At 54.5% G+C, this 15988-nt stretch overlaps 1 protein-coding gene across 48 annotated transcripts in view, besides 1 other annotated feature; it reads right to left on the bottom strand.

Annotated features, from left to right (window-relative positions):
* Positions 1-15988, bottom strand: part of JAKMIP3 (Janus kinase and microtubule interacting protein 3) — a 148495-nt gene that overhangs the window by 66225 nt on the left and 66282 nt on the right. For 45 of the 48 annotated variants that reach the window (NM_001392043.1, NM_001392055.1, XM_011539676.3 and 42 more), the window contains exons 2-3: positions 13691-13962; positions 1060-1557 (exon numbers count right to left, since the gene is read on the bottom strand). In NM_001392043.1, the coding sequence (NP_001378972.1) occupies positions 1060-1557; positions 13691-13825 (633 nt within the window). In that variant the 5' untranslated portion in view covers positions 13826-13962. The remainder of the gene's footprint in view (positions 1-1059; positions 1558-13690; positions 13963-15988) is intronic. The other 3 variants (NM_001392062.1, NM_001392061.1, NM_001392067.1) reach the window with 1 other exon arrangement.
* Positions 10710-11210: an enhancer, noted in NCBI's record as "H3K4me1 hESC enhancer chr10:133920928-133921428 (GRCh37/hg19 assembly coordinates)". NCBI's record gives its function as "activates a minimal SCP1, AML or CMV promoter by ChIP-STARR-seq in naive H9 embryonic stem cells {active_cell/tissue: H9 hESC(naive)}" and the evidence as "EXISTENCE:reporter gene assay evidence [ECO:0000049][PMID:30033119]".

Genomic DNA, 15988 nt, shown 5'->3' with positions numbered 1-15988 from the left:
AATGGCTGGTTCTCCCTTCCTGGCTGTGGGTGTGGAGAGCGGCTGCCCCTCTCTGGGAGTTCCACATGCTGGCCCAGCCTGGAGGCCATCCCTGGAGACCGGAGGCCCCGGGAAGCAGGCAGAGGGAGGCTGCCCCAGGTGCACAGCCACGCCCCGTGGAAAGACCACTGCATCCCACCCAAGGTGCCCGGGGCTCCGGGTCCTGAAGAGGCACAGGGCTGGGGCACGCACCTCTAAGACAGAGCTCCATTTCCCCCAAAATCACAGGACAGTCTCCTCTCCAAAGGACAAGGGGCATCGGGTGGAATCAGTCCCTTGCAATCCCTGGACATTCTCGTCAGCTGAACCCTGGGCCTTTGAGAACATCGACTCTCCTGGTGCCTGCCATGGGTGCCCAGGTCTCTGGAGCTATTAGGCTGCACCAGATGCCAACGTTAGACCTCATTGATCCACAAAACCGGCAGCTCATCTGGTCCAGCCCAAGTGCAACGGTTCTGCAGAGACAGGGACCTCAGGGCAGCTGGGGGCCATCCCACCCCCCGGGGCCTCCTGATCTCGCCTCTCTGGATCCTGTGAGTTCAACTGGAGAATCACTGGAGAATTCCCTCTGAGTCCCCCCGTGAGGATGTGTGGGACTCCTGCTGCGAAACACTGAGCCCTGCCTGGTGTCAGGTGTGACCCGGGACACTAAGAAGAGATGTCCGTGAACCCTGCGGTGTGGATGGGCAGTGCCGATTTCTAGGTTTCTTGCTGTGGCCCAAGTTAAGAAAGGAAGTAGAGCTGGTGTTTGTGGAAAAGGGGAGGTGAGAGTCTGGCCTGCCCCGTGCGGGCCTGACTGTGGGTCTGAACCTTTTCTAGTGGTCTCGTGACTCTAGGGTCCTCAAAACCAACAGGGGTGGCATGAGGAGCCTGTGCTAAGAATGTCATGGGGGGTGAAGCCGGTGCTGCCCGCGTGCTCCCCGAGCCCACGCCTGCACCCTCGCCCACGCCCGCCCCTGCACCCTCGCCCACGCCCGCCCCTGCACCCTCGCCCACGCCCGCCCCTGCCTGCCCACGTACCAGCCTGCGGATCTCCCGCTCGCACTCCTTCTTGATGCGGGTGATCTCCTCCTGGTGCAGGTGGTACACGCTGCGGATCTCTGCGGCCTTGATCTTGTCCGCTTGGATCACCAGCGTCAGCGCCTCCTCCACCTGCCTTTTGGCGCCCTTGAGCTCGGAGATCTCCTGCTGCATCTTGACCTTCTCCACCTCGAACCCCTTCTTGGCCTCCTCCTTGGCCTCGGACAGCAGCACGGTCTTGACCTTTTCGGGGCCGCCATCACGCAGGGCACTGAGCAGTGCCTGCAGCCGCTGGTTCTCGTTGTCCTTGATCTTGATGACCCTGAGCAGCTCAGCCTCATGCTGCCGCAGCAGCGTCTCACGCACAGCCTGTAGCTCCTTCATCTTCTCCTCGTGCAGCTTTGTCTTGAGCTCCGTGAGCAAGACCGCGGTCTTATGCTGCTCATGCTCGCGCACCTGCCGCAGCTCCTGGTTCTTCTCGCGTTCCACTTTGCTGACCTGAAAGACAACAGCGAGACTGAGTGTGGCAGGAGCTCCAGCCATGCACACACTCACACCTGAATGTGCATTTGGGGGAGCTTCCACGTTGCACACACTCACACCTGAATGTGTATTCAAGGGGAGCTTCCACGTTGCACACACTCACACCTGAATGTGCATTTGGGGGAGCTTCCACGTTGCACACACTCACACCTGAATGTGTATTCGGGGGGAGCGTCCATGATGCACACACTCACACCTGAATGTGTATTCGGGGGGAGCGTCCATGATGCACACACTCACACCTGAATGTGTATTCGGGGGGAGCGTCCATGATGCACACACTCACACATCTGAATGTGTATTCGGGGGGAGCGTCCATGATGCACACACTCACACATCTGAATGTGTATTCGGGGGGAGCGTCCATGATGCACACACTCACACATCTGAATGTGTATTCGGGGGGAGCGTCCATGATGCACACACTCACACATCTGAATGTGTATTCGGGGGGAGCGTCCATGATGCACACACTCACACATCTGAATGTGTATTCGGGGGGAGCGTCCATGATGCACACACTCACACCTGAATGTGCATTTGGGGGAGCTTCCACGTTGCACACACACACTTGAATGTGCATTTGGGGGGAGCTTCCACGTTGCACACACTCACACCTGAATGTGTATTCGGGGGGAGTGTCCATGATGCACACACTCACACCTGAATGTGTATTCGGGGGGAGCGTCCATGATGCACACACTCACACATCTGAATGTGCACTTGGGGAAGATTTTTTTGAAAATCACTGAACACCTGAGGAGCAGGTACTGTTCAGGCAAACCTGAGGTCACCCACCGGAATCTGTAACGCGCTGAAAGGTTTTATCAGTTGTTATTCATGAGAATTGTTGGTATCTGAATCAAAAATACGTTCCAGAAGTTGAGATTGTGTTGTTACTGTTTGAAACCGCGGAGAAAAGGCACTTCTTCTAAGAAGCAAAATAGCCCAGCAAGGGCCTGTCTGGGGTTAAGGGAGGACACGCTGTGGGGGTCCTATATTCAGACCACAGTGCCGGGACCGCTGCCTGCCGTGGGCCAGGCTCTGCTGCCAAGGGCTTTGCTCTCCCGCTCCGAGGAGTTTCCAGCACATCCGGCCCAATGCCCGCTTATGGCTGGACACGGCCATACTTCATTGATGACGTCGCCAAATATTCACGGCTCCAGTGGGAGCTGGAGGACAGCTGAGCCCTCAGGGCTGCTCCAAGGTTGACAGAATCTTAAATGAAATGGACAAAGGTCCTTTCATTTTTTTTTCACGAGTTAACTTTTAGTCAAGCCACATTTCTACTAGAAACGACATTTTTCTTTACATCTTATTTCCAGAGAAATTATCTTCTGCTAACCTCCAACAATTGCTCTAGAATTTGGGGTCCTCTTTGGAGACAACTATTTAAGCACTATTTCCTTTACGTGAATGACACGCTGAAGAGGAACACACCAACCTCCTCTGCCAGTCCTGTCCTGCTGGCACCGAGTCACAGGTCAACATCTCCATTTCAAACCAGCCGTAATTTCCCCTGAGAGGACTCCAGGATGATGCAGAAAACTAGAGTGCAAGATCAGGGCTGTGGCGCCTAGAAGGGCCCAGATGAGTGCAGCCAGGCTGACAAGCGGCTGTGCGGAGGCCTCCTCTGGGCCGCTGGTGGGATCCCAGCCCATCGGTAGCAGGGGCCCAGAGTCCCCCTCTGATCACAGAAGTGTACCACTGGCATGACCCCAACCATGATCAGTGCCCCGCCAGGGTGACCCCTAGCCGCGATCGCGGTGACCCACCAGGGTGACCCCTAGCCGCGATCGCGGTGACCCGGCAGGGTGACCCCTAGCCGCGATCGCGGTGACCTGCCAGTGCTGGAGCTGATTGCAGAGCTGTGTAGTATGAACAGTGCTCAGCGCTAATTTGAACAGATAGGCATTTGGCAGCTTGGGGAAGTGTCTATGGAATCGGAGCCACAGCAGCTAACACTTCATGCGTAATTCACCCTCGCCCGATCACAGCAGCCACTCACCATGCTTTTCCCATATCCTGGAAAAATATGTATTCATTACATTGGTTGAATGAAGAAATGAATTCATTGAGGAACGCTCAATTCAAATATTTTTTAAATCACTGGATTTCTATATATCATCAGCAAATAATTAGGAATGAAAATACCAAATGTACCATTTATAATGGTATCAAAAAAACCAACACTTTTGATGACGTGTTAGAAAACACGCCCAAGACCTCGGTGCTGAAAACTACTAGGTGTTACTGACAGAAATTTAAAAGCGTTTAAATAAATGGAAGAATATATCATACTCATGAACCCAAAGACTCAATATTATAAACATGTTTATTTTCCCCAAATTGATCTATAGATTCAATGCAATTCAATGTATAGAAGCTTTTATAAAAATGCAAATCTCCAAATGGATTCTAAAATGTAGATGGAAATGCAAAGAACCAAGACAGAACAGAATCCAAAACAGACTGTCTCAGGGAGCTACCATGACTAACAGCCAACTTCTGCTGTCCCAGCACAGTGGCACATCCTGTAATCCCAGCACTGTGGGAGGCAGAGGCAGGAGGATGGCTTGAGGAGTTCAAGACCAGCCTGGGCAACACAGTGAGACCCCATCTGTACAAAAAAAATAAATTAATTAAAAAATTAGCCAGGTGCAGTGATGCACGCCTGTAGTCCCAGCTACTTGGGAAGATGAAGTGGGAGGATTGCTTGAGCCGGGGGGTAGAGGCTGCAGTGAGCTGTGATCGCACCACTGCACTATAGCCTGGGTGACAGAATGAGACCCTGTCTCAGAAATAATAAGTAAACTTGTGCCATGCTGCACAGAAGCAACAACCATTCCTTGTTTCTCATCAGTCGGGTAGTCAGCTGGAGTCAGGTGGCCTAGGCTGGACTCAGTGGGTACCACGTGGCAATTTTCCTGGGACTGGCCACTAGTCTAGACACAGTCTCCTCACAGAGAGGACAGAGGTAAAGGAGTAAGCAAGGGACACAGAGGGTTGGGCTTGGGCCTGGCCCAGATCACTGCTACACTGGCCAGAACAAAGCAAAGCTCTACAAAGTCGCACGGCACAGGCATCCTCCCGGGAGAGGCGAAGGACGGGACAGTAACGCTGTCTATGACACAGGCTCACACACGTGGCCATGGATTTATTGTAAAAGTGAAACTGCAGTGCAGCGGGTAAAGCCTTTTTTACGTGAATGGTGCCAGGTCCATCTCACATCCACAGTCATACCCTGCTTACTTCATGTGCCAAAATCAATCCCTGGTAGGTTTCCGATATAAAATTGAAAGGTAAAACAACACAGCTTCTAGAAGAAAACATAGGAAAGTGTCTCCATGACCTGGTACAGGCAAAGATTTCCTCAAAAGGAAAACTCCACAAAGCCCCGCTATCTCTTTCCCAGGCTTTTCTTAGCCCTATGATGAGGAATTCCTCTATTAGCAAACATTCTTCCTCAACAAGATTCTAATGGCTGCAGGGCAGTCTGCTGCGTAAATACAACCTAACGTCCTTAGCAGTTTCCTCAGGCTGGGACAGCCAGGTGGCCGCTTTGTTCCTTATCATTAGCAGAGCTAAAACCAACACCCTGTGTATCTGCTGGATTCCGCTTTTTCTAACAGTGGAGTCACTGTCACAGAAGCCTGGCAGCATCTCAGGGCTGTGCACTGGTGGCCAAGGCACCTGCAGAGAGGCTTCCAGCGGCTTCTGAGGGCATCACTTCTCCACCCAATCAGCAACCCCGGGGATCTGCCATGTATAAAAGTGACTGGGTGCATTCAACTTTGTTTTGATTTGCATGTCCTTAAATAATACTGCTAATGCTTTCGGCCATTCACAGATCATCTACCTCCTGAGCTTTATCACAGAATCCTGGGAGGTGCAAATTGAATCCCCTAAAGCAGGCCAAGAGTGGCTAGTGAGCCCTGAACTGAGGTGACAACTGCTTTCAGACCAGGGATATACAGCATCCTGGTCACTAGGTAGGTGTGTTTCTTGTATATTTCAGTAAGTCACGCTTTAGAAAGTGGGACGGTCACAGTCTTTCAAACCCTAGCTGTGCATGCTCTCTGATGAGAACTGTCTATTTTTTTCTAAGGAGTAGGAAAGAATGGAGCAGCCAAAGGGGGCAGAAGGGAAAGACAGAGGGAGCGAGAGAGGGGATTCGCAGCCAGGCAGAGGCAGGCTGACCAAGAAGCGGCGGCTGGAGAGTCAGATGCGTCCACCATGTGAGCCGGTGTCCAAGGGGAGGTGGAGAGCTGCCCTGTCCAAGGAGACACGTGGCTGTGGACAAGGAGAATCCGAATCCCAGACCCTTCATGGGAACTATTTCCCCACTCCTATAGGCTCAGAACATTCAGGTACCCACAGTAATAAGCAGACAGTCCCCAGGGGAAGGCAGGAGACTTCTTTAAAATGCAAGACATTCACATAAATCTCTGTGAACACAGAGCCAAGCGGGACTTTGTAGACAAAAACACTGAAGAAAAGAATACAATTGAACAAAATAAGGAACCAGGAAAAGAGACCCTTCTTAAAACCTAACAGCCCGAAAGAACAGAGGCGGGATGGAATGTTCTGGAAGCAGGCATGAGGTGGGTGAAGTCCAAGAGTATGGCCTCCTCGCTGCCCTCTCTGGGCTTCCCAGCTGACGAGCCGAGTGCCCAGGGCAGGTCCCAGCCCCGTCTCCCCTCGCACTGTTCTCTGGGCAGCATCTCCCACCACCCGGAGACCCCGCTCCCACACCTGAGGCCCGTGTGCCCCGCGGGACAGCAGGCACCTGTGCTCACCACCCAAATGTCAGCCCCCGCCTGGATGTTGGTGTGAGGCTCCACGGTGTCCTGTCTCACGCAGAGTCCTTGATGTCCTCCGGCCCCCAGTGCCCATCATCCTCGCCCAGATGCCACCTCAGCAAAGGGCAGCCCGGCCACTGCTGCTCAGACCCAAGCCTGGAGCATCCCATGCACCGTCCACCCGCACGCTCTACCCCCGCCTGCCAACACCTCCTGGCTCCTCTCCCCCGTGTCCCAGAGCAGTTCCACACACCATCCACCCACAGATTCTACCCCTGCCTGCCCACATATCCTGGTGCCTCTGCCCCATGCCCCTCCACGGCTGCCACCCTCAGCCATGGCACGGACCTCTGAGCAGCTGCCTCCCACTGCTCTCTGCTCCCCTCAGCCCCTCCCACAGCAGCCAGAGGGTATGTTTAACACGTCAAAATATTTTAAATATATAAACATATTTATAATATATAATATGCAAATAGAAGTCAGGTCATGTCCAGCTTTAAGGCTCCCAGAGGCTGCTGGCTGTGCCTGGAGCATGGCCCAAGCTCCTTGCCTCGCCATGGTGGGATGCCCAGCGGTCCAGGGAGGCCGGCTTTCCTTGTTGTTCCAGCATAGTGATCAGTAACCCCCTTTCTCCCTCCAAAGTGTCCCCAGGCAGACTATAGGTTACTAGGCCCCCTCCTGCCCCACACCCGCATGGCCCCCGGGGCCCATGGCCACCTCTGCTGACCTCTTCTGCACCCTCCCCATGAGGGCTGCACCTGCCCTGGACTTCCCGGCGCTCGAGGTCACACCCATGCCCATTCACCCCATGTCTACCTGGGCTCTAGCCCCACCTGGAGCCACCCCCGACCCTGGGACCTTGCTGTGCTCATGGGGGGGGTCTCTGCTCCAAGGCCACTTCCTCAGCAGTAACCCCAGCACTACTCACTGCGTCTGCTGGCTCTGCCACCCCTTGCCTCGGCCCCTGTCCCCGTCATTGCTGCCTCCCTCCACAGGTCTGCAGGGGCACAGCTGCCTGGGACATGTTTCCTGTGGGGGCAGGAGGCCGGAGCTTCCATGGCGTCTCCCACCTCTAGGCAGGCCCCTCCATTAGAGCTGGGATCTTGTAGGACTTTCCGGGCACCTCCGAAAGGTGTGATAGCCGTGAATTTTCTCTGCTCCCTGCACTTCCTCATCCAGGGTACAGTTCCAAGAGTTGGGGCTCAGCCTGCAGGAGGGCGGGCAGTGGCCAAACCCCAGAACAGGCATCAGGGGCCCTGCTGTGCCCAGACCAGAGCTGGAGCCTTCGTGTCCACGACAAAAACACGGTGACTTACATCCTCATGACACGTATGGCTCTTCCCTGCTTTAAAGGAGCCCACGCTGCACCTTCCTCAAGACAAGGCCGAGTTCACGCCCCTGCGGTTCCCTCGAGAGCCCTCCCTGTGAGCCCCTCCCCTTCTTCACTGGGAACGGTCCCATCTCTCTCCCGACAGAGGGCTGGCACCTGGAGGAGTCAGCTTTTATTTAAATCATTTTATTCTTGAGTTGTCAGATCTCAGTCTGCTCAAGTCTTCCTCAGTGATCGATTAACCATCGGACTGAAATCCAAGACGCTTTTTCCAGAACTCACAGGGACCTTCTTTACCCTGAAAATCACAGTCTGCAAAATGTGATGAAGCAGTTGCAGAATTCTGATGATTTTTGATAAAGAGATGAGCTCCCCACTGCACGGCAGTCCAGTACCGCAGCAGAGAAACAAGCAGCTCCCCTCCCTCGGCTGTTCAATGTAAACGGATTTAACCACCACGTGACAGCACATCTTCACATAACCACAGGCAAAAACTGCACAGAAGGCTGAGCCCATCTATCGTGGGCCCCACGTTGGGATCCGGCCTTGGGAGCTGCAAAGGCTGAGACCCTGCTGGAGGCACCAGCAGCCCGGGAGCACCTGCCCGTGCCTGAGCTGGTGGAGGCCACCAGATGCCGCCTAGGCCACCAGTGGGCTGTGGGAGCTTCCAGAGCACGGCTGGATTCCAGAATGGCTTGGGGGCTGCCTGTCCCCTCCAGGCTACAGGAGGCCGGTGGGGCAGGGTCGGTCTGTTCTGGGAAGGGCTCCTCTGGCTGGCCATTGATTTCCCTCTTGAGGTCCAGAACTGGATTCTCCCCCACGGGTGCTTCTGAGACACCTGGATCTGCTGGAAATTAGATAGGAGGCTCCAGTTCCACAGCTGCAGGCCTAGTTACAGAATCCTGTCCTGGGGTTGTAATGACGATATTACTTTTGGCACGGACACAGTAAAGACTTCAGAAGCATTGATGCTGCCAATTGTAATGACTGAATTCCTATTTTCTGTTCCCTGCTTGGCCAAGACTTATGCAAGTGTTTGGCAAATCAAGGATCCCCACATTTTGTGGTAGAGGCCAAGATGCTGTGTGAGCTGCGGAGCTGCAAGAGCCCAGGGGCCCCGAAGGCTTCCCATAGTCCTGTTTCTGACCACACAGAAGCTACAGCCTCAAGCCCTTCCCCACTCAGGAAGACTCGAAGGTCAACTCAGATGGGATATTCCATTTATGGAATGGAGTAGGGAGAGGAGAAAGCCCAGGTGGGAGCTGGAAGAAAAGCGGCCGGAGGCTCCAGGGTCCTCAGGATCCTCAGGGCCCTCAGGTGCAATGAGCTGAGGTCTCACTACCGTCTGTGAGACCCTCACTGTCGTTCTCAGGACAGAAGACGCCCGGGCGCAGGGGGACCCACACCTCTCTGCGGGCGCGCAGGAACAAGGGCAGGCAGCCGGGCGGAGAGCTTCTAGTTTGCTTATATTTGAACCCAAATGAGGTCATTCGTTAATTGTGGGGGGTGCCTAGCTGCCTGTCTGCCATATTCTTTTCTGTGTGCACACAATCTTTTTTTAACCTCAAATGTTTTTAATTAAAAAAATTTTTGTTTTTTGAGACAGTCTTGCTCTGTCACCCAGGCTGGAGTGCAGTGGCACAATCATGGCTCACTGCAGCCTTGACCTCCTGGGCTCAAGCCATCCTCCCACGTAGCTGAGACTACAGGTGAGTGCCACCATGCCCAGTTTTTTTTAATATATGTGTGTGTATATATATATATATGTGTGTGTGTATATATATATGTGTGTGTGTATATATATATGTGTGTGTATATATATGTGTATGTGTGTATATGTGCATGTATGTGTGTGTATATATATACATATATAATTTGTATACATATATACATTTGCGTGTATATGTATATATACATTTGCGTATATAATTTATATATACATTTGCGTATATAATTTATATATACATTTGCGTATATAATTTATATATACATTTGCGTATATAATTTATATATACATTTGTGTATATAATTTATATACATATATATAATTTTTTTTTTTGGTGGAGACCAGGTTTTGCTATGTTGCCCAGGCTGGTCTCGAATTCCTGGGCTGAAGCGATTCTCCCGCCTCAGCCTTCCAAAGTGCTGGGACTACAGGTATGAACCACTGCACCTGGCATTGAATGTTTTAAATGACACTTGGCTGGGAAGGTCCAGGTTTGGCTTGGAGGCACCAGTGGGAGACAGGACCAGGTAGGAGAAGAGCAGGTGAATGAGGCAGGGGAGGGGTGGGGCAAGGAGGCAGGGGAGGGACGAGTTAATGAGGTAGGAGCAGGGTCAGAGAGCGCTCTGGGGTCTTGGTGGCCCAGGGGCCCTCTCTTGTCTGAGGCTCCACCTGTGTCCCACCCGTCCTTTTTCCCCTCCAGCCCCTGCTTCCAGTAGCTGCACACCCTGGAAGCTGAGGAGATGAAGAATAATTATTTTCTGCATCTCCTGGAAACTCCTTTAATGTTGGAAATCCACTGTCCCCCGGGACTGGCAGGATGAAAGGGCTGGGAGAGGGAGAGAGCTGGCCAGAGGAGCTGGTGTGGGAGGGCAAGTCCACGATGCAGATGCTGAGCGGCCCTGGGCAGGTTCAATGCCTCCCCGTGCCTCTCAGCAGCTTCTGCTCCAGCAGGACCAAGGTCCAGGCTCTGCTGCACAGTGAGGTGTGAAAACCCCAACCTAGAAAGAACCCCCTGGCAGAGATGAGAATATTTCAGAGTCCTTGGCTAAGCCAGGATAACTAGGTCTGCAGGAAGGAGCAACGCCGAGCCATGATCTTGAACCCCACTGGTCCCAGAGCAGCCAGCACCTTCCCACCAGTGTAAGCCAGCAGTGAGGACTCTGCCCGGACCCAACTCCTGGAGCTGCCCTTGGGAGCCAGCTGGATCTCCCTGAAGGGCCCTCTCTGTTCTCCATGGGCCCTGGGGACGTCACCGTCAAACTGCAAACATAGACACGCTCTGGCCCAGCAATTTGGCTTGCAAGAACGTCTCCTGCAGGAGTTCTTTTGCATGTAGTCCAAGACCCAGGTACAGGGCTGCAGTATCAGCCGAGAATCGAATCAGCCTGGATGCCGTCGACAGGCCCACCACGGTGGGGCATGTGAATAACATGGACGAGCTTGTGCCAGCTGCACTGTTCCACGTGGAACTGACTCCAAGAGGCGCTGTGATCACTTGGCAAAAGGGAGTTGCTGCCTGTGCATCCAGCATGCTGTCAGTTACGCTTGAGGAGGCAGGGCTCAGATCGCTTATGCAGGAAACCATAACATGAACCCTCTGGCGAGGGCGTCCAGGATGAGGAGCTCTGAGGCAAACAGGCTTCTTCTCCATTCCTTTCCTCCGGTGCCTTCTGCACGTTGTGCCAAGAGAGCACATCCTCTCCTCCAGGTACAACTAAACATGCCCCGCAGGGTGCCCAGCGGGTCTGGGTTGCAGCCCTCAGACGCCGGCCCTGGAACCTTGCCGGCACCTGGGGAGCCCGCAAGCCTGGCCTGTTGACCATCAAGGAGCGTGTGTCCCTCGGGGCGTCACAGATGGATGTGTTTTGGCAAAACTGCACAAAAAATCACATGATGCTGTTGTAATTAGGTGGACAGAGAACTGGGGACTAAACCTGGGGATGTCCACATGTGGTGTTTTTGTTAAGAAGATAATTATTGGCTGGGGGCAATGGCTTAGCCCTGTAATCCCAGCATGTTGGGAGGCTGAGGCAGGAAGATTGCTTGAGTCCAGGAGTTTGAGACCAGCCCGGGCAAAATGGCGAGACCCAGTCTCTACAAAAAAGTTAAAAAAAAAAAAAAAAATAGCCGGACATGGTGGTGCACACCTGTGGTCTCAGTTATTTGAGGGGCTGAGGTGAGAGGATTGCTTGAGCCCAGGAGGTCGAGGCTGTAGTGAGCTGAGATCACACCACTGCACTCCAGACAGGGTGACAGAGTAAGACTTTGTTTTTTTAAAAAAAGATAATTGTTATATTTTTACTCAATAAAACAAAGGGTTTCATTCTCACTGGGCTCTTGACAAGTCATCTCTTCTTCCACCAGCAAAATGCAGAGAGGGAAGACGACAGCCATGTCTGAGGCTCACCGTGCAGCCTGGTCTCTCCATTTGGGGCAACTCCCCATTTTTTGACGGGGGGCATTAGCACCCTGACCTTGTGCTCCTGCAGCGAGTCGGGGCCTCTGGGCCTTGTTGTTTGGGATTTATGGGCGCCTGGCACAGAGCAGGTGCTAGACGCACATTTACTGATCGTGTCCCCATGCCATCGGCCTTCTGGTATCCGAGAAGCGAGACTCCCCGAGCTGTGCCCCGAAGCCTCAGCAACACTCCCCCCTCCAGGCCACAGGCTGTGTTCATCCCCATTCTACAGAGGAGGGACTCATGGCAGGAGGGGGAGGAACGGGGGCGGGGCCAGATGGTAAATATTTTAGGTTTTGTGGGTCAACTCCAAGGACAATATGTAAATGAGCAGGTGCAGCTGTGGGTTTTTTTTTTTAAATCATTTTTATTTCTTTAGAGACAGGGTCTCGCTCTGTCATGCAGGCTAGAGTACAGTGGCACAATCACAGCTTACTGTAGCCTCAACCTCCTAGACTCAAGTAATTGTCTTGCCTCAGCCTCCCGAGCAGCTGAGCCCACAGGAGCATACCACCGCACCTGCGTAATGTGTCCATTTTTTTTTGTAGAGATGAGGTCTCCCTATGTTGCCCAGGTTGGTCTCGAACTCCTGGGCTCAAGCTATCCTCCCACCTTGGCCTCCTAATGTGCTGGGATGACTCATGTTCTAATACAACTTTCCTTGTGGTGTGGGCACCAAAATCTGAACTACACATGATGATCACGTGTCACGAAACATTCTTCTTCTTTTGATATGACAAGGAGGTGAAATCACAGGAGGGTCAATAAGTCAGAGGTTAAGCAACCACCCCCAAATAACCCGACTCCCCTCCACCGCCAGACCATGCAGGTCCCAAGAGAGATGCCTTTGATGGGCAAGAAACAGGGAGGGAGAGAACTAGGGCCTGGAGTGGGGACACCATCCACGCGTGACCCAGGCCCTTCCAAGCCCACGGCAGGCACCTGCCTTCGTTCCCAGCCCCTTCCTGGAGCTGCCTTCTCTCCAGATGCTCTCTCCCTCGCCTTCTCCTTCCAGGAACCTGGGCACACTTCTTAATGGCTCCTGGGGACCAGGAGATGGAAAGGAGAGGGCAAAGGTCATGCTAGAGGTGGAAAGAGGTTCAGGCGTGGGTAGCCCACCCCAGGGCTTGTCTTGTCTTCTGGTCAGCCCCTCCCCCTGCTTCAGACCCCCACCCCCTTGGCTGCCAGCACAGCTCAGCACAGCCCAATCTTTCCCGAGGCTTCAAAAGCCCCAAAGTGCTGGGCATCCAGCCAGAGGCCATCGTGGGCCTCCCCATCCCCCGGGCTTGCCCCTGCATCTCCACATTCGCTAACGGGTGCTGTTCCTCCAAATCTGGAAGCTCTAAACCGATGGCCCATCCTTTTCCTTTATTCCCATGTGAGAGCCATACCTGCCCACTCTGTTTCAGGTCAGTTCCACCATGGACACTGCAGTGGGAAAGTCAGCGTCCTTTCCAGGTATGGCACCACTGGACACAGACCCCAAGGCCCTGCGGCCTCAGATGGGAGGGCTGTCCCCATGCAGCAGAGGATAATTTCTGTGAGCTCAGCGTGGTTTGCGGTCACCACCACGGCACCTGTGCCTACAGGCCCTCAAGTCTCCCACTGCCTGCCGCCCCACCCCCCACCAAGTGGTCTGTCCCAAGCAGCCTTTAGGACTGGGTGGGGGTTTCCACAGGGATCTGGCCAAACCCACTCCAGGAAGAGCCTCTGGGCCCCAGGGGAGGCAGGAGGGAGGGACATTCAAGGGTGGAGGTCTGGGGAGCGCCCACCTTGCTCTTCTCCTGCTGCAGCTCGATCTGGATGTCTGTGAGCTTGGCTCGAAGATCCTCGTTGGCCGCCTGCAGCGCCGCGAGGGCCTCTGCCTTGTCCCCCTTGGCCCGGCTGCTCATGCCCCTCTTGGACATGGTGAGGCTGGATGGCCAGGGGGATGCCCAGGGGTAGGGTGCTCCGGCTGGGCTGGGCTGGGGGTGGCTGGGGTGTCCACGCCAAGCTCCCAGCAGGTGTCACCCGGGCTGCTGTCACACTACATCTTCTCATTCACCTGGAGGGGAAAGCACACCGCGGTGAGCAGCTCCCTCCGGAGCCGTGGCCTGGAGCTCAGGGGCTTGTGTGCCGGGGCAGGGGCACGTGGACCCCCCACCTCATTGCAGTGCTGAGGATGCTACCTGGACGACGCAGGCCAGGGAACCAGCCCCAGACCTCAGAGCCCATCTGCCCGCCATATGGTGCCCCCAGACAGGGACCCCACATCTAAGAGGACATCCCCACGCCCAGCATGGGATGAACACTCAGCACGGGTGAATTCTTTTCCCTCTTAGGAATCAGAGAGTGAGGGAGTGGGCACCCAACTTCGAACTCAGAATTCTGTACATGGCTGTGAGGCCACATGGCGGCAATGGCACATATAAACCACGAGCTCTCAGACGGCAGAGGGACCCCGTGACCGGGCTCCTCCACAGAGACCCACAAGCTGCACCCAGGAAATGCCCAGAAGTGCGGAAAGCAGGGACTGGAACAGAAGCGCACGCCCAGCTCACAGCAGCACAATCCAGGTAGCTGCCAGTGGAGGCAACCTGCATCCATCGATGGATGAGTGGCTACACAAAATGCAGAATATCCACGTAGCAGAATATTATCCAGCTGTAACCAGGAGGGAGATTCGGACACACGCTATGACAGGAGGATCCCTGAAGACATTAGGCTGGGTGAAATGAGCCGGTCACAGAAGGACAAATGCCGCATGATTTCACGTATATATTCAGGATCTACAGTCGGCAAACCCAGGAACTAAGTAGAATGGTGGGTGCCAGGGGCTGGCAGGAGAGGCAATGGGAGCTACTGTTTAATGGAGATGGATTTTCTTTCTTTTTTTGGAGATAGGGTCTGGCTCTGTGTCCCTCAAGGGGAGTGGCCGTAAATACACAGGAAGCTTCCCTCCCTCGCCCACTGCTTGCCTCCTGCTGTATGGCCCAGCTTCTAACAGGCCACGGACAGGCACCAATCCATGGTCAGGCACTAGGGACCTGGTGTAGGCAATCAGTGATCTCCACTGGTCACAGCAAGTCCTCCAGGTTCAACCCCAGGGAAGCTGCTCATTGTCTAAGAAGAGGTGATTAGACGAGGCTGGTGAGATCCTCACACTTTCCTTCTGTGCTGCCAGGCACCTCCCCTAGCTGTTCCTTTCCCTCAGAGGCTCCCCCCACCAAGCTACTCCTCTCCCCCAGGTGCTCTTCCCCTCCAGCTGCTCCTCCCCCCCCCAGCTGCTCCTCTCCCCCAGGTGCTCCTCCCCTCCAGCTGCTCCTCTCCCCCAGGTGCTCCTCCCCGTCTCTGATGTTCCTCTCTCCCCCTGATGTTCCTCTCCAGCAGCTGCTTCTCTACCCCAGCTCCTATGTCAGATGCTCCTCTTGGCTGCCCAGAGGGTCAAGGACCCCCGGTGCTCCTAACAGGTCCATTGGGCTCCTCTGTGGCCCTCCTGCTCCTGGGGCCTCCTTCCATCCCCACCATGACCAGCTTTCCCCGACAGAGGGAAAAAAGCACCTTTCCCTCTTGTCCTTGTTTACCTTCTGCTCCTGTCACCTGTTACAGGGCAGTGAAGGCAGCCAGGATAGAAGGGACAAGCAGGCAGATCACACATGGGAACTTTCCCGGTGAACACAGCCCCCACCCCCACAACTCCTGCTCCCATTTCCTGATGAACACAGGCCCACCCCACGCCCCCATCTCCTCTCCCGGTGAACACTTCCCCCCACCCCATGCCCGCGTCTCCTCTCCTGGTGAACACAGGCCCCCATCACTCCTGCATCTCCTCTCCGGCCTGGTGAACACAGCCCTCCCCCCCTACTCCTGCATCTGTCTCCAGCCCCCTATTTATCAGTCCACAGGACCATGGGAGGGAGACTTGGACATGGGCCCTGCAGTTTGATGAAGGCCAAGCTGTGTGGGTGTGGGGCTCAGAGACCAGCGGAGGTGGCAGGACGGGCAGGTGGGAGGGCCACAGGGCAGCCAAGTAGACTTCCACGGGTGAGTGAAGATGGCCTCACAGAGGGAGGGTGAAAGGAGGGTCGGAG

The sequence above is a fragment of the Homo sapiens genome, chromosome 10 (assembly GCF_000001405.40).
Source record: "Homo sapiens chromosome 10, GRCh38.p14 Primary Assembly".
NCBI lineage: Eukaryota > Metazoa > Chordata > Mammalia > Primates > Hominidae > Homo > Homo sapiens.
The sequence above is the reverse complement of the archived record's forward strand: the minus strand, read 5'-3'. Positions and strand labels throughout refer to the sequence as shown.